Source organism: Homo sapiens, chromosome 2 (assembly GCF_000001405.40).
Source record: "Homo sapiens chromosome 2, GRCh38.p14 Primary Assembly".
NCBI lineage: Eukaryota > Metazoa > Chordata > Mammalia > Primates > Hominidae > Homo > Homo sapiens.
In genome coordinates this window covers 20,796,495-20,822,841 of record NC_000002.12, presented here as the reverse complement: position 1 = coordinate 20,822,841, position 26,347 = coordinate 20,796,495, and the positions used below count along the sequence as shown (strand labels likewise).

The 26,347-nt window shown below is 37.1% G+C and overlaps 1 protein-coding gene across 26 annotated transcripts in view, besides 2 other annotated features; it reads left to right on the top strand.

Moving 5' to 3' along the window:
* The window catches only part of LDAH (lipid droplet associated hydrolase), a 140,613-nt gene that overhangs the window by 260 nt on the left and 114,006 nt on the right, over positions 1-26,347 (top strand). For 11 of the 26 annotated variants that reach the window (XR_007079565.1, XR_007079563.1, XR_007079567.1 and 8 more), the window contains exon 2: positions 21,377-21,532. The exons of 6 other annotated variants lie outside the window; for them this stretch is intronic. Coding sequence is in view for 7 of the 20 variants with exons in the window: in NM_001282720.2 (NP_001269649.1) it covers positions 21,379-21,532 (154 nt within the window). In the remaining 13 variants the exon portion in view is untranslated. Of the gene's footprint in view, positions 1-21,376; positions 21,551-26,347 lie in introns of all 26 variants that reach the window. 9 more of the 26 variants (XR_001738874.2, XR_939702.4, XR_001738875.3 and 6 more) reach the window with 1 other exon arrangement.
* Positions 40-865: an enhancer, noted in NCBI's record as "NANOG-H3K27ac-H3K4me1 hESC enhancer chr2:21021737-21022562 (GRCh37/hg19 assembly coordinates)". NCBI's record gives its function as "activates a minimal SCP1, AML or CMV promoter by ChIP-STARR-seq in naive H9 embryonic stem cells {active_cell/tissue: H9 hESC(naive)}" and the evidence as "EXISTENCE:reporter gene assay evidence [ECO:0000049][PMID:30033119]".
* Positions 168-237: an enhancer, noted in NCBI's record as "active region_15406". NCBI's record gives its function as "activates an Ori minimal core promoter by ATAC-STARR-seq in GM12878 lymphoblastoid cells {active_cell/tissue: GM12878}" and the evidence as "EXISTENCE:reporter gene assay evidence [ECO:0000049][PMID:35858748]".

Here is a 26,347-nt window from a genome sequence, read left to right as displayed (position 1 = left end):
TTGAGTTGCAGGCCGGGCAGTCGCTCACCCGAGCGCGGTAATGCAGCATTTGAACCCCTAAGTGTAGCCCACCTGTAGGGAGTCTTATGGTGCCCCCGCGGAGGAGTAGAGGCCAAAAAGTTGGGCAGCTGGCCGGGAAGAACTCGCTAGGAGGGGTCAAACTCTGGGCCGGGAGTGTTCTTTGCCCCCGGCGTTTAGTGCTCACGCCGCCTTTTATTCACGCTGAAGACCTTAACCGTAAACCCTCATCCTTGGGTCTTAGTTTGGTTTTGTTCCCCACGCAAGACAGAATGCAGATTGGAACACTTTATTCCTTGGTTAATTCGTATCTTCCCTCGCAAGTAGTTACCGGACACCTGCTTTGTGTCCTGTGTACCAAACACAAGAGTTGATAGTCCTGGCCGGGCGCCGTGGCTCACGCCTGTAATCCCAGCACTTTGGGACCCCGAGGCGGGCGGATCAGGAGGTCAGGAGATCGAGACCATCCTGGCTAACACGGTGAAACCCCATCTTTACTAAAAATACAAAAATAAATACATAAATAAATAAATTAGCCGGGCGTGGTGGCGGGCGCCTGTAGTCCCAGCTACTCGGGAGACTGAAGCAGGAGAATGGCGTGAACCCGGGAGGTGGAGCTTGCAGTGAGCCGAGATGGCGCCACTGCACTCTAGCCTGGGCGACAAAGTGAGACTCAGTCTCAAAAAAAAAAAAAGAGTTGATAGTCCTTGAGTTGAAAGAACAAATCTGTATGGAGAAAGAGATACAACCAAAAGAAACCCAGAAGATTTAGAAGCATCTCCAGAATGTTTATTCTCAAAAGCTGTTTTTTAATTAAACTTCTTTCTGAAACTATACGTAGGAGTGTCTCTTGTGTGTTTCCCCATTTTTCCACCTGAAGGTTAAAGACTTAGAAACCTGCTAAGGCCCCTCTTTCCAGCATGTAGCATTCTAGGGGGATAATCAGGGCAACACAGTGGGTGCCCATCTAAAATTTTATATTTTAATATTTTGCTTTTTGATAACTTAATGCCTTCAGACTGGAGGATTTTTTCTTTCTTTTTTTTAATTTTTTTAAAATTATACTTTAAGTTCTAGGGTACATATGCACAACGTGCAGGTTTGTTACATATGTATACATGTGCCATGTTGGTGTGCTGCACCCATTAACTTGTCATTTACATTAGGTATATCTCCTAATGCTATCCCTCCCCACTCACCCCACCCCACAACAGGCCCCGGTGTGTGATCTCCCCCTTCCTGTGTCCAAGTGTTCTCATTGTTCAATTCCCACCTATGAGTGAGAACATGTGGTGTTTGGTTTTTTGTCCTTGCGATAGTTTGCTGAGAATGATGGTTTCCAGCTTCATCCATGTCCCTACAAAGGACATGAACTCATTCTTTTTTATGGCTGCATAGTATCCCATGGTGTATATGTGCCACATTTTCTTAATCCAGTCTATCATTGTTGGACGTTTGGGTTGGTTCCAAGTCTTTGCTATTGTAAGTAGTGCTGCAATAAACATACATGTGCATGTGTCTTTATAGCAGCATGATTTATATTCCTTTGGGTATATACCCAGTAATGGGATGGCTGGGTCAAATGGTATTTCTAGTTCTAGATCCCTGAGGAATCGCCACACTGACTTCCACAATGGTTGAGCTAGTTTACAGTCCCACCAACAGTGTAAAAGTGTTCCTGTTTCTCCACATCTTCTCCAGCACCTGTTGTTTCCTGACTTTTTAATGATCACCATTCTAACTGCTGTGAGAAGATGTCTCATTGTAGTTTTGATTTGCATTTCTCTGATGGCCAGTGATGATGAGCATTTTTTCATGTGTTTTTTGTCTGCATAAATGTCTTCTTTTGAGAAGTGTCTGTTCATATCCTTCACCCACTTTTTGATGGGGTTGTTTGTTTTTTTCTTGTAAATTTGTTTGAGTTCTTTGTAGATTCTGGATATTAGCCCTTTGTCAGATGAGTAGGTTGCAAAAATTTTCTCCCATTCTGTAGGTTGCCTGTTCACTCTGATGGTAGTTTCTTTTGCTGTGCAGAAGCTCTTTAGTTAAATTAGATCCCATTTGTCAATTTTGGCTTTTGTTGCCATTGCTTTTGGTGTTTTAGACATGAAGTCCTTGCCCATGCCTATGTCCTGAATGGTATTGCCTAGGTTTTCTTCTAGGGTTTTTATGGTTTTAGGTCTAACATTTAAGTCTTTAATCCATCTTGAATTAATTTTTGTATAAGGTGTAAGGAAGGGATCCAGTTTCAGCTTTCTACATATGGCTAGCCAGTTTTCCCAGCACCATTTGTTAAGTAGGGAATCCTTTCCCCATTTCTTGTTTTTGTCAGGTTTGTCAAAGATCAGATAGTTGTAGATGTGTGGTATTATTTCTGAGGGCTCTGTTCTGTTCCATTGATCTATATCTCTGTTTTGGTACCAGTACCATGCTGTTTTGGTTACTGTAGCCTTGTAGTATAGTTTGAAGTCAGGTAGCGTGATGCCTCCAGCTTTGTTCTTTTTGCTTAGGACTGACTTGGCAATGCAGGCTCTTTTTTGGTTCCATATGAACTTTAAAGTAGTTTTTTCCAATTCCATGAAGAAAGTCATTGGTAGCTTGATGGGGATGGCATTGAATCTATAAATTACCTTGGGCAGTATGGCCATTTTCACAATATTGATTCTTCCTATCCATGAGCATGGAATGTTCTTCCATTTGTTTGTGTCCTCTTTTATTTCATTGAGCAGTGGTTTGTAGTTCTCCTTGAAGAGGTCCTTCACATCCCTTGTAAGTTGGATTCCTAGGTATTTTGTTCTCTTTGAAGCAATTGTGAATGGGAGTTCACTCATGATTTGGCTCTCTGTTTGTCTGTTATTGGTGTATAAGAATGCTTGTGATTTTTGCACATTGATTTTGTATCTTGAGACTTTGCTGAAGTTGCTTATCAGCTTAAGGAGATTTTGGGCTGAGACGATGGGGTTTTCTGAATATACAATCATGTCATCTGCAAACAGGGACAATTTGACTTCCTCTTTTCCTAATTGAATACCCTTTATTTCTTTCTGCTGCCTAATTGCCCTGGCCAGAACTTCCAACACTATGTTGAATAGGAGTGGTGAGAGAGGGCATCCCTGTCTTGTGCCAGTTTTCAAAGGGAATGCTTCCAGTTTTTGCCCATTCAGTATGATATTGGCTGTGGGTTTGTCATAAATAGCTCTTATTATTTTGGGATACGTCCCATCAATATCTATTGAGAGTTTTTAGCATGAAGAGCTGTTGAATCTTGTCAAAGGCCTTTTCTGCATCTATTGAGATAATCATGTGGTTTTTGTCTTTGGTTCTGTTTATATGCTGGATTACGTTTATTGATTTGCGAGGACTTTTTTCTTTGTTAAAATGTTGCTCTGCTTTCAGCATTTTCTCCCTTGTAGTATTACCATAATGTATTTAAGATTGAGCACTTAATTCTGAAGTCACTTTAAGTATACCTCAACCAAAGGGAAATTAATATATTATTTCTAATGAGTGTATTTAATATAGGTAAGTAGTTTGTACACTTGTGAAATTCTTGGCATTAATTGATGTCCAGAAGCTGAAAGCTACTCTCTGGTACATTAAAAAAAAATTGTGTGTGTAATTACAAGAAAGTTTGATGTCACAGTTGCAAAGGAGTTGTGCAAAACAAATTGCCTTTTTCCAGTAAAGATAATTCAGCAAGTTCATCTTGAGTGTAGTGTGTGGTTTCGTTTTTAATATGTCCTCAGCAGTAGTCATAGATTTTATCTTCATCATTTAAGCTTTATTTTCTGGCCCACTTGCACAGATTTAAGAAAAATCTCACTGGGGTTAGTGTGCAGTCATTCAGACAGCAAATACAGCAAAAGTAGGTGAAAATGTAAAAGTCATTAAAAGAAGAATTGTGAAATTGCTCATCTCGCAACCACATCAAGCAGGAGCAAAGACAACTACACAGAATCTTGGTGTAACATACACTCATTACCACTTGGACTTTCTCCTACAGTATTTTGCAGTTTGTTTTTTGGATTCTTTAGTGTTATATAATATTTCAAAGTAATATGTGACTGGGAAATATTGGAATAGGTATCAGAAGACTGTAGAATTTATTTTGCCATTTAAATGCTTATGTCCTTGAACAAAAAATGTAAACATCTTTGACCTTCAATTTCTTGTTCTATTAATTGCCTGCTTTTTAGGTCTGATGAGAAAGGAAGAGAATATAATTTGCAAATAAAAAGAAGCAAAAAAAAAAAGCAGTAGTTTTATTGCAAGGGGCTAGATGGTGATCAAGTTAGGATATAGAAAACAATTACTTGTTCTTACATGTTATTCTGGAGAAAGATGAGATGGATACCCATAGTTACAGCAGAAGCGTAAAAAGAATTCTGTTTATGCATCATCTGTTTATGTGTTGACTTTCACCTGTATGTTTTCAAGTTTATATAGGGCTATGTGCTAAGATTCCCAATTTTCCCCTTTCATACCACTTATTATACCAGTTGCAATTAAATACATATATAATTATTAATAACTTTTTTAAAAACCTTTTTGTTTTGAGAGAATTGCATATTCAGAGGAAGTTGCAAAAAACTTTACAGGGAAGTCCTTGTGTACCCTTCAGACTGCCTGCCTCAATGGTAACAACTTGGATAACTGTGGTACGATATTAAAACTGGGAAATTGACATTGATACAATTCACAGAGTATATTTCCATTTCACCAACTTTATAAGGACTCATTTGTGTGTGTACACAGGTCTATGTGTAGCTTCTTATAACTACCGTAATCAAGATAAAGAATTATTCCATCACCACAAGGCTCCCTTATGCTGCCTCCTTATAGTCAGTCTATCTTGTCCCAGCCCTATCCCTAACCCGTGGCAACCACTGCTCTATCTCTATAATTTTGTCATTTCAAGGATATTGTGTAGATGGACTCATACCGTATGTAACTTTTTGAGATCCATCCAAATTGTGTGTATCTGTCATGCATTTCTTTATTTATTGCTGAGTAGTATTCCATGGGATGGCTATGCTACAGTTTGTTTAACCATTCATTCATTGAAGAACATTTGGGTTACACTATTATAAATAGAGCTTCTATGAACTTTTGTCTGAAGATTTTTGAGTGAACATACATTTTTCCCCCTCTGGGATAAATGCCCAAGAGTACAATTGCTAAGTCATATGGTAAGTGTATGTTTAGTGAATTAATACTTCTTTAGCTTGTTGATATGGTGAGTTACATTGATTTTAAAATGTTGAACACAACTGGTATAAATCTCACTTGGTTAAAGTATATAATTATATATTTCCATATTCTATTTGCTAATATTTTGTTAAGGTATAGGTAGAGAGGTGTGAGAGGTTAAGGTATAGGTATGAGAGATGTGTTGTAGTTTTTTGCTTGTTTGTTTTGTACTGCCTTTGTCAGGCTTTGGTAGGGTAATAGTATTCTACATGGTTTTTAGTGATAACCCTTGTTTCATTATTGCTACTGTATTAGTAATTTGTGTCATTTTATCTTTTTCAGTGATGATTTGCTGGTTATAGTGACCTTTTTCAAAGAACTCGCTCTTTATTTCATCTTTGTCTATTTTTATATTTTTAATGTCATTGATTTCTGCTCTTATATTTATTATTTTCTTCCTTCTCACTTTAGGTTTATTTTGCTTCTTGTCTAGTGCTGTGATTATTAGTTTAAGGTCTTTCTTTGTTTCTAACGTAAGCATTTATTGCTATAATTTCCCTCTTGGCATTGCTTTTGTTGCATCTCACAAATTTTGCTGTCTTGTATTTTCATTTCTATCCAGTTCTATATAGTTTAAATTTTTCCTTAGAAATTTGCTTGACCCATGAAAATATTTGGGAGTGTGTCATTTAGTTTCCAAGTGTTTGGTGATTTACCTGTTGTTTTTCTGTTGTTGATTTCTAGTTTTTTTCCACAATGATCAGAAAACATAAGCTGTATAATTTTTAATTTTTAAGTTTCTTTTATGACTGAGGGTATGGTGTATCTTGGTGGATGTTCCATGTATGCTTGAAAAGAATGTGTATTCTGTTATTATTGGTTGCAGTGTTCTATACATGTCAGTTATGTCCTGTTCATTGATGGTGGTGTTCTGTTCTTCTGTGTCTTCTTGATCGTCTAATAGTTATTTTCGTTGCTGAAGATCCCAACTATAATTATGGATGTCTCTGTTTTTCCTTTGAGCTCTGTTGGTTTTGGCTTCATGTTAAATATCTGTTGTTTGGTGCATATACATTTAAGATGTTTTCTTGATGAATTAATCCTTGTATCTTTGTACAATAATTTTCTTTGCTCTGAAGTCTACTTAACTGATGGCAGTGTAGCCATCACTACTTAAAAAAAGTAGTTAGTATGGCATATCTTTTCCATACTTCTGTTTTCAACCTACCAATGTCATTATGTTTTAGTGAATTTCTTATAGACGCTATATGCTTGGGTCTTTTAAAAAAGAAACTTCTCTGCCAATCTCTGTCTTTTAACTAGTATAGTTATATCATTTACACTTAAAAGTAATTGCTGTGTTAGGGCTTAAGCCAGCCATTTTATTATTTGTTTTCTGTTTATTTCCTGTTTTTCATATCTGTTCCTCTTTTCTGGTCTTTCTGTAGGTTGCTTGAATATTTTCAGAATTCTATTTGACATGTTTATAGTGTTTTTGAGTATCTGGCTTAGTTAACCTTTTTTAGTGTGCTTTGGGTATAACAATAGATGTAACAACTTATCACAAGGGATACTTTTATTGCCTTTTGCCAATTGAAGTTTAGAGACCTTTCTTCCATGTAGGTCCTTTCTCCTTTTCCCTTTTTAAAATTTAATATTTGTATTTTCTCTATACACCTTGAACACCACATCAAATGTTGTTATAACGTTTACTTCAACTATCAAATATGATTTAAGAAACTCATAAGATGAAGAATAGTTCATTTTATATTTACCATGACTATTACCCGTTCCAGTGTTCTTCCTTTACTCAAATTAAACCTTATTGATACATCATTTCCTTTTTGTTTGAGGAACTTTTTTTTAGGAGAACCTCCTAAAGATATGTCTGTTAGTGACAAATTAGTTTCCGTCATCTGAGAATGTTGTTCCCCTTTGTTCCTGAAGGGTGGTTTTGTCCTATATGGAATTTGGCCTTGACAGTTCTTTTTCTTTAACATTTGAAAAATGTGCCATTTCTTTCTGGCTTCCATGATTTCTGATGAGAAATCTGATGGCATTCAAATTATTGTTCCCCTTAAAGGTAATGTGCCATTTCTCTTTGGCTGCTTTTGAGATTTTTTTCTTTGTTTTTAATTTTCTAAACTTGACTTATGATGTATCTTTTATTTTTATTTTTTCCCACTTAGGGTTTTTCTCAGCTTCTTGACTCTGTAGATTTATGTCTTTTGTCAAATTGTGAAGTTTTCAGCTATTATATCTTTATTTTTTTCAGCGCCATACTTTCTTCTCTTCCTCTAAAACTCTGATTGGATGAATGTTAGGTCATTTGTTATTGTCCTACAAGTCCCTGATGCCTTTCTTGTTTCTTTGTCTGTTTTTCTGTGTTCAGACTAAGTAAATTCTGTTGATCTGTTTTCAAGTTCACTGATCCTGTTCTCTGTCAATTCCACTCCACTATTGAGCCCATCCAGCAAGTTTTTAATTTTAATTAGTATTTTTTCTATTTTGTAATTATTTTTGGTTCTTACTTTTTAAAACATTTCATCCTTCAAGGAGAGCTACTTTCAATATACATGGAATTTCTTGGAAAAACTAGTAACAGTTTTAGGTTATTTGTATATATGAACTAATGTTACTCAAGATTTTAAACCTCTGCAGAGTTATCTCTGTAATTAGCAGATGAAGCATGAACATACATAATTTTTTTCTCTTTTTGTCTCAGGTAATTCCTTGTTACAGGCCCTAATAAAAGGGAAATGGGGAAGGAAATGGAGAAGAGAATTTAGGCCTTGGCAAATTGAAAATTGTCTGTAGTATCTCACTGACAGGTAAAGTAGGAATTTTGAAATTAGAGAAAAGGAACCAGGAATGAAGATGAAATGAAAAATTTATATTTACTTCACTAAAACTTTTAAAGTTGTCATATAGTTTCAGATTTAAAAAGCTATTTCTTCCAGCCTAGGCAACATGGTGAAACCCCTTCTCTACCAAAAATACAAAAAGTTAGCCAGGCATGGTGGTGTGTGCCTATAGTCTCAGCTACTTGTGGGGCGGAGGCTGGAGGATCACTTGAGCCCAGAAGGTTGAGGCTGCAGTGAGCGAAGATTGTGCCCCTGTATTCCAGCCTGGGTGACAAAGTGAGATCCTATCTCAAAAATAATAATAAAAATAAATAAAAAATCAAAAAGTTCTTTCTCCTTTCCTTCATTTCCCTTGAAGAATACTGAAGATTTTACATAGATGACAAATTAGGTAAATCTAAGAAAAAACAAAAATTAAGTAGAACAGGTAACTTTCAGTGGCCATACTTGAGATTTAGGTTATATTGACTGCTGAGGTTTATCAGTTTGATTCCTATCCCTACAATATAATTAAAAATAAACCATGGACCCCCCCCCCCCATTGTCAGACTCACTGACAGTATAACATTGTGATTAAAAAGCTCTTTCTCAGTAAGTATGAAAAGTTAATGCATGAAAAATAATATATGTTAATTTAGTGGGGGAAAAGATGGTTTCTGTATTACAGTGGTATTAACACAAGTAGCTTTCCATCTGAAAGAAAATAAAGTTGGATCCTTATATAATGGATTAAAGGTTTAGAAGTAGAGACTAATAAAAATTAAAATAGACATCTGGGAAACAATATGTAAAATATGGAAACCCAGAAAAGAGTTAGTATCTGCATTATACAAAGTTTTCTTACAGACTGATAAGAAAAAGATAACTCACTTGGAACCTAGACAAATGATATGAAGAGACAATTTACAGAAAAGATAGTCTAAAAAGCTAACAAACATGAAAAAATGCTTAAACACACTTGTAGTCAGTGAAATGCAAATTAAAGAGTAAGGTATTTTATATCCAAAGACTGTAAGACTTACAAAGTGTGGTATCACTTAGTGATGATAGGGTTGCAGAGGGAAAGATACCATTCTACATCGCTAAAAGAATTACATTCTTTTTTTGAGAATAATCTGGCAACATCTATTAAAATTCAACCAGTAATTTCACACTTGGCAATCTGGCCTATAAAAACAAAAGCACTGGTAGATATGAATGTATGTGAGAACATAGGTATTTAAGGGTACTTATTGCAGCATTGTTCTGAAAAAACTGGGAACTAATTGAGTGCTTGGCACCAGGGAGATGGTCATATAACTTATGGTATATCCACATTATGGAACCATTAAAAATGAATTACTTATATAAACTCTTTGACTTGGCAGGATATCCATATGTTATTAAGTATGAAAGCAAAATGCATAGAAGTATATATAATATGCTACTATTTGTCAAACACTGGCAACTCATTCATGAAAAAATACATAAATGCTTAACATATATTTGTGTATAATTATAGAAGAATATGGAAGACTATACTAAGTTAATAACATGGGTTTGGGAGAGATATGGATGGTAAGGAGGAGAGGTAGAGTGGAGGCATGATGCAAAAGGTTAAAAAATTGTTTAGAAAAATCACAGCATGCATTATATCTCATTTATCCATATAAGTGAAATTATATATATGCATATAAGTAGAATTTTAAAAATAAAGAACATGAGCTCTGGAATCTTTCAGACATTTCTGGATTCAAATTCTGACTCTGCCACTTTACAACTTACTAGCTGTGTGACTTAGGCAAATTGCGTAATGTCTTTGAATCAATTTTCTCACATATTTTCTTGGGGTGGGAGGATGAAATAATAGTACCCATCTATAGGGTTGTCATCAGGATTAAATTTAGATAGCATCTGTTAAGTGCTTAGCACAGTACCTGGCTTACAGAAAGCACTCTCAGTTATTAGTTCTTACTGTTGCCTTGGTTCTTACGCTCTTGGACATTTGTTAATATCTATTTTTAAAACTTTATCACCATCCTGCCACTTTCTTGAAACACTCCTCACTGGCTTACATTACTTTACATGTCTTAGTTAATGCCTGTTTCTAATTGTTCCTTTTTATTTTGCTGATATCTTTTTTCCTTACCTATGGATATTGCTCCCAAAATATAGCAGGGGTTGCCAAAGAAGCTTTTGAATTAGGGTGACTGGGAGAATATTAGTCCATATATGGCAGCAGAGAAGTCATGATGTAGGGTTTATAGGGTTGATTTTTAAAACAAGATGATTTTGATACTTGCTCTGCAGAAGTTTTATGCATCAATGAGGCACCCAGATGAAAATGCTCAATAGCTGGAAAAACTTGACAGGAACTTGAGAAGTAGATATAAAGGATTCTCTCACTTGGCTAATTCTCGAAGTGGATGTAATCTCCAGGGGAGAGCATATAGAGAAGGGAATCCAGGGCAGAAACTTTGGGGACAGGGAATAGGAGAGGAAAAGGTTCCCATTGAGGACTGGGAGGTGGCATAGAAGCCAAAATAGAGAATTTCTTTAAGAAGCTGCTGGAGAAACTGTATGTCTACTTTGTTCTCTCTTGAGCTTTAGTTCTGTGGCTCACATTGTCTTCTGGCCTTGTTCCTTATTTTCTTGAAACTTAAACTACATTTGTAACTAATCCCAGCTTCCTTTCCTCCCACTAAATTCCCTTCTTTTACATTTCCCCCTATATGTATGTGAGGAGTGCTTTCATTCCCCTCATCTTTGGCATCAAAATCTGTCATCTCTGCCCCTTTCCCTTCCCTGGTTCTCCATATCATTACCAAGACTCTCATTCACTCCTTTTTCATTCCCACTCTTGCCTACATTTGATTGATTATTATCAAAATAATCTAAACAGGATATTTTGAAATAATCTAAACAAGATTATTTTGATAGCTGCCAAACTCTAGTGTAATCTTGTGTTTTTTCTGTCTTTCATAGTCCTCTTAAAAGAACTAGTTTAGGCCAGGTGAGGTGGCTCATACCTGTAATCCCAGCACTTTGGGAGGCCGAGAGGGGTGGATCACGAGGTCAGGAGATCGAGACCGTCCTGGCTAACACAGTGAAACCCCATCTCTACTAAAAATACAAAAAATTAGCCAGGCATGGTGGCAGGCGCCTGTCGTCCCAGCTACTCGGGAGGCTGAGGCAGGAGAATGGCGTGAACCCCGGGGGCAGAGCTTGCTTTGAGCCGAGATCGCGCCACTGCACTCCAGCCTGGGCGACAGAGCAAGACTCATCTCAAAAAACAAAAAAAAAAAACTAGTTTAATCCAGTTAATCCAGTCCCTCTGCCTTTTAAATCCACCAGATTATCTTTCCTCCAACATCTTCCCAAACTGTTCTGAGGAAGGAGATGAGGTATTAATGAGAGAGATTAGTAGGATCACCATTAATGAAATATAGTCAAATCAGTTTTTAGAAGGTTGAGTCCGGGCGCGGCCGCTCACGCCTGTAATCCCAGCACTTTGGGAGGCCGAGATGGGCGGATCACGAGGTCAGGAGATCGACACCATCCTGGCTAACACGGTGAAACCCCGTCTCTACTAAAAATACAAAAAAATTAGCCGGCCGTGGTGGCGGGCGCCTGTAGTCCCAGCTACTCGGGAGGCTGAGGCAGGAGAATGGCGTGAACCCGGGAGGTGGAGCTTGCAGTGAGCCGAGATCGCGCCACTGCAGTCCAGCCTGGGCGAGAGAGCGGGACTCCGTCTCAAAAAAAAAAAAAAAAGAAGGTCGAATACCTTTTTGGCACCAGGGACCCATTTTGTGGAAGTCAATTTTTCCACAAATGGTGGGGAGTGGGGAGTGATGGTTTTGGGATGAAACTGTTCCATCTCAGATCACTGGGCGTTAGTTTCTCATAGGGAGCATACAACCTAGATCCTTCGCATGCACAGTTCACAATAGGGTTTGCGTTCCTGTGAGAATTTAATGCCTCCACTGATCTAACATGAGGCGGAGCTCAGGCAGTAATGCTTGCTTGCCGCTTATCTCCTGCTATGTGGCCTGGTTCCTAACCAGTTCCAGACCATGGCCCAGGGATTGTGGACCCCTGTTGTATACTATGTCCCCCTCTAAAGCATTCTCAGTTCTTATCGGTGTGCTTTGAAAAAGTTCCTCAGAAGTAAAGCTTATGTGCCTTTGTGTTTAACTTAACTTTGCAGATTGTGTTTTCCAAAGATGGCCACAATAGTAACTCCCATACCACATGTTCTTTTTACAATATGACTTTGACACTTCTTCTACTGACCCCTCTCAGTAGAAATGTCACAGTCATATTGTACAAAGAACATGCTGTCTTTGAATATTGATGGGCTTCTGTCTAACATGGAAGTGATGCTATGTGACTTTTGAGGGTAGGTCATAAAAGGTGATACAACTTTAATCTGGTACTCTTGAGACATTTGCTCTTGGAACCAAGCCACCATTTTCTGAAGAAGCTTAAGTAGCCCATATTGGCAGGCCAAATGGAGAAGGCACATGCAGGTGTTCCAGGCCAACAGCCTATGTGACAACAGCATCAGTCACCAAGCATATGAACAAAGATACTTCCAGATGACTCCTGCCTCCAGTGATCAGATCACACCCAGTTCTTGAGTTTTCTCAGCTAAGGCCCCAGACTTTGGATCAGAGATAGGCTATCTTTGTTGTGCCCTTTCTGAATTCCTGACCCACAGAATCCATAAGCATAGTAAATGGTTGTCTTAAGCCACTAAGTTTTAAAGTAATATTTTAGATAGCGAGAGTAACTGGAACACCCAATGTTTCCTGAGAACACTTTATTTTCTTAAGTATGGTAACTGGTAGCTTGTGATACATGTTCCTTGGAAAACCTGTTTGTGGAATTTCTGGTTTTCTAATTTTTTAGCTTGCCATTCAAGGCCTTCATAGTGAACAGTAGGACAGCTTCGGTATTGGCCTATACATATCCAGCAAATCAGTCTCCTCCCTGAATGGTATTTTATTTATAGTTTCTGTATCAGTATTCTTTTACTCTTCTAGAAAGCCCTTATGTTTATTCGCTGATAGTCTCTTTTGTGAAGTGCCTGTTCAAATATCATTTTTCTATTGAGTTGTCTCTTACTGATTTGTAAAAGTTCTTTGTAAATTCTGGATATGTGCATGTTGGGACAAAAATCTATTTTTATATCCTGTGTGTATATATATATTTCCTAACAACAGGCTCGTTTTCAGAATACTATACATATGTGTATATATGTGTGTGTGTATATGTATAGTGTTCTCCCACTCTGTGACTTGCCTTCTGACTCTCTTAATAGTGTCTTTTGCTAAATCCAAGTTCTTAATTCTAATGGAGGATGGAATTTGAAAGTCTTTTCCTTTTTTTTTGAGATGAACTCTCACTCTGCTGCCAGGCTGGAGTGCAGTGGTGCGATCTCGGCTCACTGCAACCTCCGACTCCCTGGTTCAAGTAATTCTTCTGCCTCAGCCTCCTGAGTAGCTGGGATTACAGGCACGCGCCACCAAGCGCAGCTAATTTTTTTTTTTTTTGTATTTCTAGTAGAGATGGGGTTTCACGATGTTGGCCAGGATGGTCTTGATCTCCTGACCTTGTGATCCACCTGCCTCGGCCTCCTAAAGTGCTGGGATTACAGGTGTGAGCCACCACGCCTGGCAGTCTTTTCCTTTATGGCTCATGTTTACTATTACCTTGTTTACGAAACCTTTGGCCACCCTAAGCTCATAAAGGTATGTTCCAATGTTATCTTTTGGAAGCTTTATTGTTCACGTTTCACATTTAGATCTATAATATACCTAGTACTATATTTTGTCTGTGGTGTGAGAAAGGAGTCAAGATTCATTTATTTTCCACATGGATATCCAGTTGAACCAGCATCATTTATTTGAAAGACCTTGTTTTCCTTACTCCTCTGCATGAACGCCATTGTCATGAATCATGAAGATATATCTTTGGATTTGTTTCTGGATTCCCTGTTCTTGTCCACTGTTTTGTCTATGTTGTCTTCAATAATGGTATATTTTTATTAAACCTGGATATAGGGTAAAGTCCTCCAACTTTGTGGTTGTTCTTCAAACTTGTCTTGGCTATTCTTTTTTTTTTTTTTTTTGAGACGGAGTCTCTCTCTATCGCGCAGGCTGGAGTGCAGTGGCATGATCTCTGCTCACTGCAAGCTCCGCCTCCCAAGCGATTCTCCTGCCTCAGCCTCCTGAGTAGCTGGGATTATAGACGCCCGCCACCACGCCCGGCTAATTTTTTTGTATTCTTAGTGGAGATGGGGTTTCACCGTGTTAGCCAGGATGGTCTCTATCTTCTGACCTCGTGATCCGCCCGCCTCGGCCTCCCAAAGTGCTGGGATTACAGGCGTGTGAGCCACCGCGCCCGGCCTTGTCTTGTTATTCTTGACTTTTTACACTTCCACATACATATTAGAATTAGCTTAACAATTTCCATTTTTAAAAAAAGGAAAGGGAAAAGACCTGATTTGGATTGGAATTTTACAAATCTAAGAATTAATTTGGAGTTTATACTAGTGAGACTTCCAGTTCACGAATACAGTTTGTCCCCTCGTTATTTAATTTCTCTCAGTAATATCCAGCAAACCACGTAGCTTTCTGTGTAGAGGTCTTGCACATCATTTGTTAGATTTATTCCTAAGTATTTGATTTTTTTGATGCTGTTATAAGTGGTCTCTTTTATGTTTTATTTTCAAATTGTTTGTTGCTGGTATGTAGAAATATATTTGATTTTCATATATTGACCTTTTAGCTAATGACCATGTTGCATTCACTTATTAATTCAAATAATATATGTAAGGGTTTTTTTTTTTTTGCATTTTCTATGTATGTCATCATGTTTGTGAATAATCACACTTTCTTCCTATCCAATCTAAATATATTTATATCTTTTTTTGTTTTCTTATTGCATTGGCTGAGACCTCAAGTATAGAAGTGTTGATAGCAGACCTCCATATCTTGATCCCAAACTCAGAGAGGGTTTCAATATTTTACCCTTAGTAAACATTTACTGAAGATTTTTAATACTTGTATTATATGAAAAAAATGAATTTCATATTTATATTTTATAAAAGATTTCTTTATTTCTCACTTGTTAAGAATTTTTTCATGACTATTGGATTTTATGAAATATTTTCTGTATCAATTGAGATGATTATATAAGTTTTCTTTATTCTGTTAATGTGGTAACTTAAACTGATTAAATTTTGAATATTTAAACAACTTCTCATTTCTGATATATACACAATTTAGTTGTCATCTATTACCCTTTTGTATAGCACTAGATTTGGTCTGCTAATATTTTGAATAGTTTTTGCATCTATCTCAACCTTAATTATAATGTACATTTTAAAGTAAAAATTACAAAGAATTGCTGATTGCATAAAATGAGTTGGGAAGTGTCCCTCTTTTTCTATTCTCTGGACAACTGTATGTAAAATTGGTATTATTCCTTCCTTAGGTGTTAATTTCATCTGGACCAAGAATTTTGTCTTAAAATATAAGTTTATTAAGAGTCTTCTAGTCTGTTTTCTTTTTGTATCTGTTGGGTTTGGTTTTTTTGTTTGTTTGTTTGTTTTGGAATTTGCCCATGTCAAGTTTATTGGCATACATTTCTTCATATTTGTTTATTATTTTTTGATGTCTGTAGAATCTGGAGTGATATCCTTTTTTCACTTCTGATATTGATTGATTGTACCATCTCTTTTCTTGAGAAGTCAAGGGTTTACTTATTTATAGGTGTTTTCAAAGTAAAAACTTTTGGGTTTGCTAATCCTCTCTAATGTAAACTTTTTTTCCTATTTCATTAATATCTACTCTTCATTATTATCTTTTTTCTATTTTCTTTATTTGGATTCATTTATTTTTTTTCTAATTCCTTAGGCCAAATGGCTAAGTCCTTTATTTGCAGCCTTGTTTTCTAATATATGCATTTCAAAACTTTGAATTTTCCTGCATTCGTATCTTTATCTGCATTTCATACATTTTGTGTCCTATTTTCTATTCTCTATTGCTTCTCTGCTTTCTGCTTATTTCTATATTAATTATTTTCTATATTTTATTAATTTGTTATACAGTCTTATAAATTCTTTCAGTGGTTATGGATTTTTTTTAACATTTTTAAAAAGGTTTTCTGGCTTTTCTAATTGTTCTCAATGGAAGATTATTTGGGATGTACAGATCACCAGCATGTTTATGTTGGCTTCTAGGCCAATTTTAAAAAATGACTAAAGTAAAACTTCTGTTACCAATTAAAAATTTTGTTTTTCTGCCCTGGGCCTTTAAAAGTCAAACCTGCACTTGACCAGTCACCATATATTTTCCAAGTAGGTTTAATACTAGTGCCTAGGAATAGCACTAATGAAGGTTCAGACACATGCAAAGTATATGCTCTGCTCTGTGTCATCGTGGCACAATAACAGAGTCCACAGAATGGTCCACATTTAATATTATTATGTTTAAAGTTTTTGGCATTTGAGGAAGTTTTAGAAGCTTCCTGTTCATCTTACATATGTAATAAATAATGTAAGTTATGACTGGATATTGTTGGTACTTTAACTTGGAAAGAAAACCATCTTATTACCTCTTTTTCAAGTTTTTTTGAAAGACTGTCTGGACATTTAATTGAAAACTATTTGGACATTGCAACACAAACCTTAAAAAAGTTGTTATCATCTACAGTTCTTACATGAATAAAGCAGTATTACCAAGTAGCCAAAGTAAAATGCAGACATTTTACTGTTTGCTGAAGCTGATTAAGATGTATTATTTATAACTCCACTTTCAAATATTTTATTTATTAGTACAGTCTTACTGTTCTCAATGGCTAACTTTATAATAAATAAATATTATATTTACATAGAATCACTTAATGTATACTAAGTATATATTTAAACATATAAATAAATCAGCCCATGACTTTATATGTTTGTATTATAAATAGTATAACAAATATTATAAATTTGAACCTCTAAAATTTATACTAGTCAAATTATCTAGGTTTGTATGAGATTTAATTGGAAAAAACCCTCTTACTAAATAAAATTAGAAGCCCATTAAGCAAATTAAAACCTATATTTAAGAAAATAGGCTTGCCTAAGTTACACAGATTGTATGCACGCTTGGTTTTTATCCAGCACAAGTCTTACTGCTTATGAAAATTGATTTTATTAAAGATTGCTTATGGGCTGAGGCTGAAGGCGTGCCATTATCCTTTACCAGTATATAATTACAACGTACTCTCCTTTGTTAATCTGACAGTTATTTGCAGAACTGAACTACCTTGGATTCTTAGGTAGGGAAGAGTTTTAATTCTCGTGCCTCAGATTTTCCATTGCTGCTTTTACGTGGGTGTGTGAGATTCAGAAATACGAGAGTGAAGTAAAATAAACGATGCTTTATAAATACATGGAATTAGGTGCCTACAGGGGAAGCTATACAGCAGCTAGCCAGCATTTTAATTCCATGTTTCTCAGCTTATTTTATTTGAGGTGTTAGAGTTGTACTTTTTTGTTTTCCAATGTTTATAGACTGAGCTTGATTTTCATATCTAGTTGAATTCTCACTAATTTTGTGGCTAATCAAGCTCCCACAATGTCATTTACTTGAAGTTAAGTATTGATATTTATGATTTGAATATATTTAACAACTTTATAGTTAATAACTTTAAATTCTCTTCTGGTGAAGGTATTCAGTTTGGCCAGTGTCTTCTCAGTCAGTGCTCTAATTTAATATAGTGTTTAGTGCTAAATCTAATATTGTTTCTAACACATTATAAAGGTCAGAACTTACATAAATATACTGTAGTTTGTGATAGTTTTGGAGAATGGGCTACAGTGGCATTTATTAGTGAAGTAAAAATTCAGTCCATAAGAAAATATGAAGTGATACTTTATTTAGTCCATATATTTTTAATGGACAGTGGTCTCCACTTTCTAAGTGGGGATTTTTCATTTTTCTAAGTATTCTTAAGAGAATCAGTTTTGGACTTTTGGTTAAACATAGAGGTTAGAATAAATATGTTTATTTCTTCCTAAATTCACTAAATTAACAGAATAAACAATAAAGGAATAAACAAAGAGAATGAAAGAGGCAATATAACATCAGGCTAGAGAAGTGAAATTTTAGAAATGTTAGAAAAGAAATGCATAAATTATAACCAACTTAGAGCAGTTTTGATGGAACATAATATTTGATCATTATATTGAGTTACAATTTATTTAATTATTCCTTAATATCGAGTCATATATATAATTTTTTTAGTGTCTGATAATGGGTTATCATAATTAAGCATTCATCTATCCATGACCATTTAGTTTTTTCAGCTTTTCACTGTTATAATTAGCATTCCATGCATCAGTCTTAAAATATTTTAGGTTTTTTTCAGAATTGAATGACTGAATCAAAGTTTATACCTTTTATGAGTATTGATCCATGCTGCCAGATTGCTTTGCAAAGCCATTTTTATGATTACCATCAATGTGTGGAATTTCCCATTTCACTACAACCTAGCCAACATTGCATTTGCCTTAGGATGTTCAATCTGGGCAGGGACACATAGCCCTTGCATCAGTTGCTTGTCTGTGGTGCTGTGGGAAAGTGTGGCATGACATGACAAATTTTACCAGGTGAAGCTTAGCTGTGTGCCTTTACCACTGCCACCTTATAATAAAGACAGATGCTGTGAGTTTAGAGGAAGAGGTGATTTCCTTTGTTTACCTGGGGTGCTCAAGGAAGGCTTCATGTAACAAATAGAATTTGAGCTGTGTATAATGAGGGAAAGATTTATAAAGAAAAATTTGCACAGACACATGAGAGATATATCAGTCTGGATCAAATCAGAAGACAGAAGCCACATAGTAACTAAAATTGTTAGTTTAACTTAAAGAATTATTAGGGTATGATAAGAGAAAAACTATGAAGTCACTCTATAAGGAGAACTCCAAAAGTTACCCTAGGGCTGAGGAAAAGTACCCAATGAAGGACGGAATTGAAATGAGGTTCAGACCTCATTGAAAGTGTGGCTATAGCCCATTGGATGGTAGAGAAATTTGCTGCGTTGTCTGAGCCAACGCTGGTGCACAATCACAGTGTGAGCAGGTGAGTTAAGACTGGTAGGAGAGCATGCAGAGGGAATCAGGGCAGTGCGGCAGGGCCACAGTAACAACCCTTGGGGTGCAAGTGAGTTGAGGTTGGCTAGTTAGTAGAAGGAGTTGGAGCACCACTTTAGATACCACTGGAATTGCAAGTTGGAGAGGCCTCCCTGTGTAGCAATCTAGAGCACTGCTGTTTACAGCTTGGGGCAGGACAGTATACCAAGCTGCTGTGTGGAACAAAGGTCAGGTGGCTGGCTGGCCAAGCCGGTGCATATGGTTTGAGGAGAGGGGCTGGGGAGTAGCCACCTGGTCTGGGGCTCCTGGCTATAGTGCTGCTGCTGCCTGAGTAGAGAGCTGGAGAAAGAAAGCACACAGCCGCTAGCCAGATGCTGGAGAAAGCTTTCCCCTGCAGGCACCTAGTACTACAGCAGTGTTGTTTTTCAGCCTTGGCATTATTGACCTTCAGGGCTGGATAATTATTTGTTGTGGGGAGCTGTCCTGTGTATTGTAGGATATTTGGCAGTATCCTTGGCCTCTATTCACTGTATCTCAGTAGTTCCCCAAGTTATGACAATGGAAAATAATCTCCAAATATTGCCATATGTCCTCTGAGGGCAAATTGTCTCTAGTTGTGAACCACTGCAATAGAGAAATCTCACAGCAGTGGAACAGTGGAGGGGTAAAATATAAGCTCTCCAGAAACCTGCTGAGAAAACTCCTTCCCTCCCTTTCCAGTGCACTGTATTGACAGAGCTTAGCATCATGTCATACTGGCAAATGAAAAATATTTTAAAGGCCCAGATCCACTTTTCCAGATAAGACAATGAAGAATGAATTTGGAGTAGAGAGGTAATAAACTGATAGCTGTACAAAGTACAGTTATGGGATTAAATATGGTTGGAGAATTAAATATGAGCAAAGTTATAGAAGCAGAAAAGCGTAGGGGCACTAGGGAAATTCAAGGACAAGAAGACTAAAGTGCAAGGCTGATGTAAAGTGGTAAGAGGAGAATAAGCTAGAAGGGCCCTTTGAATCTTAACTCTGGAGTGCTTTGAGTGAGTGGAAGAGAGGGGAAGAGAAAGACAGAAAGACCAATGAAGGTTTGAGATTTGGTGCTGTCAGTAGATGAGGAAGGCAGAGGCAGAGGTGGAGGAGTGATAGAAATAATTGGGACCTACATTTTTGCACATAACTAATTACTCAGGAAATGGTTCATGATAGTATATCCTGGGTTTTTTCCCACCTATCCATTTCATAATTTAATGTAGTGCTTTAATACATAAAATATGCTTATTGGGGCTGGATGTGATGGCTCATGCCTGTAATCCCAGCACTTTGGGAGGCCGAGGTGGGTGGATTATCTGAGATCAGGGGTTCAAGACCGGCCTGGCCAACATGGCAAAACCCCATCTCTACTAAAAATACAAAAATTAGCCAGGCGTGGTGGTACGTGCCTGTAGTCCCAGCTACTCAGGAGGCTGAGGCAGGAGAATTGCTTGAACCTGGGAGGCAGAGTTTGCAGTGAGCCAAGATCATGCCACTGAACTCCAGCCTGGGCAACGTATATATGTATATATATATACATGTATATTGTGTGTGTATATAGATAGATAGATATAGTATGTGTGGATATGTATGTATATGTATATATACATATATATACACACATATTCATACATACACACACACACACACACATACACACACACACACACACACACACACATAGAATTTGGGAGAAGAGAAGAGTAATATGAGGAAATAAGAGACCATAGGGAGTTCATTGTCCCTCTTACTCTTCTATGGAGTGAATGCAAGGGCAAGCCAGAACCTCTGCACTTTCTCACCAGGTGAAGGTAGGGGAACCTGTCTCATGGTAATGCACAGAGCTAAAAGAGAATTCTAGCAGAGGGAATTTGTGGAAGTTACGGTTTTGACTCAAACCCCTCTATAGTCTTTCATTTTTCCAAGGATATGTCTCCTCCTTTCTAAGTACTTTCGTGGCTTGTTTTACGTGTCTTGCAATCGTATAATCCAGCATCACTGAATAGTCTTATAGTTTCCCAGATGTCCTTGTGGCATTTCCTTCTAGGTATATTGAAACTTGCCCTTTTTTATTCTTGAATTTTGTCTTTGGCTCAAGGTTTTACATTTTACTGACTCTTCATACTACTTTTCTCCCCTTATTTAGAAATGGACTCAGAACTCAAGGAAGAAATTCCTGTGCATGAGGAATTCATTTTGTGTGGTGGAGCCGAAACCCAGGTTCTAAAATGTGGGCCCTGGACAGACCTCTTTCATGATCAAAGTGTCAAAAGGCCTAAGCTGCTTATTTTCATTATTCCTGGTGAGCGTAAAAGTCTGGGTGAGGAGACTTTTTGTAGATACTCATAACTATGTCTGATTTTAAAGTATAGAGAATTTGGTAAATATGGAAAACCTTGGAGAAGGAATTAAAATCGCTTGACCCATTGTTAACAACCACCCTTAATATTTTGACGTCTGGATTTTGTGTTTTTCTTCTATGTATTTACATTATGTTGTCTGTTGTGTGTGTGTGTGTGTGTGTTTGTGTCACAGTTGGAAGTATGTACTATATATGCAGTTTTGTAATGTGGTTTTTAAAGCATTTCTTAATATTTAAAACTTCATCAATATTTTTGCCAGTTTTCTAAACTTTTTCTGCCTCATTTCAACATGATTATATGTTTATTATAGAATATTTGGCCAGGTGCAATGGCTCACGCCTATAATCCCAGCACTTTGGGAGGCTGAGGTGGGTGGATCACAAGGTCAGGAGATCAAGACCATCCTGGCTAACATGGTGAAACCCCATCTCTACTAAAAAACAAAAAATTAGCTGGGCGTGGTGGCACATGCCTATAGTCCCAGCTACTCGGGAGGCTGAGGCAGGAGAATTGATTGAACCTGGGAGGCAGAGGTTGCATTGCCCCCAGATCACACCACCGTACTCCAGCCTGGGGGGCAGAGCGAGACTCCGTCTCAAAAAAATATTTAAAAAAATAAAAAATAAAAAAATAAAAATTAAAAATTAGAATATTCTGATATTTGGCAGCTGAGTCACTTGTAACTTTTGCTAGATCATTGTCAATAGAATTAGGGACAGATGCTTGAGCGATTGCAGGTATTCAAAATGCATTTTAAATTGTGAGTTTGAACATACATGTTTATTCTTATTCTGTGAATTGCCAGTTCGAAACCCTTGCCCATTTTTCAATTGTGTTTTCAATGTTTTCCTTATTGATTTTCAGTTGATTCTTACACAACTGTAAAATTGTGTTATATCTGTCATACGTGACAAGAATCTTTCCTGGTTTGTCTTTTGACATCATTTACAATGTTTATTTGGTTGTATAGAAAGTATCTTTGTTATGTGGCCAAAATGCTAAGTCTCTTCCTTTAAGACTTCAGGGTTTTATGAGTTTCTTAGAGAGGGCTTTCCTACTCCAAGATTATAAAACAATTCTGCCATGTCTTCTAGTATTTTTACAATTTCATTTGTGATCTTTAAGTTGATGCATCTAGATTTTAAGGGCAGGCACTGAGGAAGGGATCTACTTTTCTTCTCCCTCTCCTTTGGATGGCTTATTACATGGTCCACAACCATTTATTGTATCATCTGCCTTTCTCCTACTGCCTTGCAATGCTAACTGTATTGTAAAGTAGATTATCCTGTGGCCAGGAGTTTCTTTCCATGTTTTTCGCCTCTTCATGTGTTCTTCATGTTTTTTAATAAATGCAGTTTTATGATACTTTTACATATTTTTTGGAACTTGTTCATTTTTATTCTTTTCCAGAATATTCTTTAGCTTCTTTTCTTTTGGCTGCAGAATATATTTTTTGGCTTCATTAGGAGGAAAAAAAAAGCTTAAATGATCTTTAAAGTCAACTTTCCTAAAATTGATCTCGTAAAGGCAGAGTATAATGATAGATACTAAAGGCTGGGAAGGGTGCAGGGCTGGGAGGAGGGATGAAGAGAGAGGTAAACAGGTACAAACATGCAAGTTAGATGAAAGGTGTAAGTTCTATTGTTGGAACTTATTTATACCAACAGAATTGGCATAGTCGGCAGAGTAGACTGACTATAGTTAACAGTAGTGTATTGTATTGGTATAAAGTAGCTAGAAGAGAGGCCTTGGATTTTTCTCAACACATAGAAATGATGAATACTCAAAGTGAATGTACTAAAACACCCTGACATGATCATTACACGTTCTATACAGGTAACGAAATATCACATGTACCCCATGAATATATAACATAAATATCAATATCTTTAAAAAAAATAAATAATAACCAAAAAATCAGCTTTTCTAGTTCCAACAGATGTTCTCAGAGGCAACCACTTTTAACACTGGTATATTCCTGTGATATTTATTCCACATTCTTTTTTGTTTGTTTGTTTGTTTAGACAGAGTCTCACTCTCTTGCCCAGACTGGAGTGCAGTGGTATGATCTCAGCTCACTGCAACCCTCCACCTCCTGGGTTCAAGAGATTCTCCTGTATCAGCCTCATCAGTAGCTGGGATTACAGGTGTCTGCCACCATGCCTGGCTAATTTTTGTAGTCTTAGTAGAGACAGGGCTTCACCATGTTGGCCAGGCGTGTGTCGAACTCCTGGCCTCAAGTGATCTGCCCACCCCAGCCTCCCAAAGTGCTGGGATTATAGGCATGAGCCACCATGCCTGGCCTTTACTCGTTTCTAAATGAAATACTTATATTTCTTCTTCTTCAGTTGTCTTTTGTTTTGTTTTGAGATGGAGTCTCTCTCTGTTGCTTAGGTTGGAGTGCAGTGGTGTGATCTCGGCTCACTGCAACCTCCGCCTCCCGGGTTCAAGCAATTCTCCTGAGTTTTTAATATTAGATGTTATCTATTGTCTTCCTCCATGAAAGAAAAAGATTAGCTTTCTTATACTTTCCCTTCTCCATGCACAATCATATACCCCTCCTTCTCCATCTATTTTCCTAGTATGGGAATATTTCAGTTTTTTGTTAGGTCAATATTCAGTGCTTTTATTATTATGACTATGTATTATATTATATTATGTATATTATATTATATTATATTAATTATATTATACATAGCTAAGCCTATAGGGAATTGCGCATGCATTTCCTTTCTTATATATTTTTGTTTGTTTTCCCTGGGTTAATGATGTTCTGTTATCTTTTTGCTTAGTTTTTTGTGCTTTAATCACTCATTTATCCTAGAACTATTCTCTAGAAGTGAAAAGAATCCTTTCAATGCATTTGAGTCATCAGTCAGTTTTCAGAATGCTCTGTCCTTTGGCTCCAGTCTGGACTCATTGCTCCCCAGGCCTGCTGCACAGTTGCCATCCTGGGGACTTCTGTCACTTTCTTCTGGCTTGGATCCCTCGTTTCTCAGATCCCACATTTTTATCTTAGTTTATTCTCTTGTTTTTGGTAGAGCATATCTTCTAGTAGCTTCCTTAGAAGAGGTACATGAGAAGTAACACAGCATGCTGCAAAATGTCTTAGACTCTAGGTTGGAAATAATTTTTCTTTAGGAGGAAAATGGAGGGCGTTAATGGAGGGCATTAATCATTGTTTTCCAACACTCAGAGCTGCTTATAAGAAGTATTGGTATCATTTCTGATTTTCGCCTTTTGTATGTGAAGATTCTCTACCCACATTTTCGAGACCTTTTCTTTGTTCTGAGATTCTGAAATTTTACAGTGAAGCACCTTGGTGTGACTGTTTTTTCATACAAGGTACTTGGGTTTTGGTGGGCCCTTTTAAGCCAGAAACTCATTTCATTCTAATAGCGCTTTGTTTTTCTTTTCTTTTTTGTAGTCTCATGTTTAATGGATGCAATATCATTTTCTTTTCTTTTCTTTTTTGTTTTTGCATTTGCAAGAATTTTCACTGTGTTCCTTTTTTCATTTGCATTAGTCTTTAGTTTTCCTCAAATGTCTGGCAATCCTTGACTATCCATTCATGTTTAAGAGGAAGACAAAAAACAAATTGGAAGCTTTGCACTCAGAGCTGGGGCTTATCCAGAGGTGTGTCTAGGGTGATTAGCCATCCTAGCTTGCCTAGGACTGAGAGGTTTTCTAGGACATAAGACTTTCAGTACTAAAACCATGACAGTCTCGGGCAAAACAGAGGAGTTGGTCGCCCTAGGTGGGCCTCATCCTAAGGTGATTGAGTAGGGACCCAGCATTTCATTGACGGATTTCCAGCTTTCAGTGTCTGAAGCTCTTTCTTTTATTGTTCAGTTTTCCTGGGGAGGAATCTTCCAGGCTCCTGTTTGAAGAGTGGAAACCTGTCTGTTAATGTTCAAAGAGGAACAGGGGAAAGGAGGTGGTAGTTTCAGTGTTTGGTTATGCCTAGTCCAGCCTCTTCTCAGTATGGTACTTTCATTCTCAGCTGGACTAAGATTCCTGATCGAGAATTTCTCTTTGTTTTAACCACTAATGGGAATAAACTATTCTTCTGCCAGGATGTAACAGTCTTTGTGGAAGTCAGTCCGTTCAGCATCTATTAACATAAAAATACATGTACTTTTCCAGTAGTGAAGGAGAGTTTGAAATTATAGTCATGGCAAGTGCTGTTTGATGGAGCAGAGATTTGGAATAGCTTATAGCATAGGATAGAGAAAATAAGTAGAAACATTATCTTAAACTCGAGAAGGGATATCCTTCTAAGGCTAGAAAGAAGGAGGTGAAATTGGTTACTAAAATGGAAAAGTATAAAGGCGTATCAGAGGGAAGTGAAGTCTCCTGCTTCCTGACTACTGTTTTTTCTGTTGAGAGTTGAGACCATGTTTTGAATGCTAATCATTTCCAGCTCATGAAAAGATACTAGGCCTGTGGTTCTTAAAGTTGGTGTCAGGATCAGAAGTATTGCTTGAGAACTTTAAAAATGCAGTTCCTGGGCTCTATCCCTGACCTTCTGAACCAGAAAGTCTGGGGGTTGGGCAATCAGTGTTTTAACAAGCCCTGCAGGGAACTGTGATACGCATATCTGATCCAGGGTGTAGTCATGGGAATGAATTGCTTAAGTTTAATGTAGGTGAAGTTCTTTGGATTTCATCATAATAATGAATTATGGGACAAAGTTTTTGGCTCAGTCAGTCCAACTGGATTTTGAAATGTCCTGACATGACATGACAAGTGAA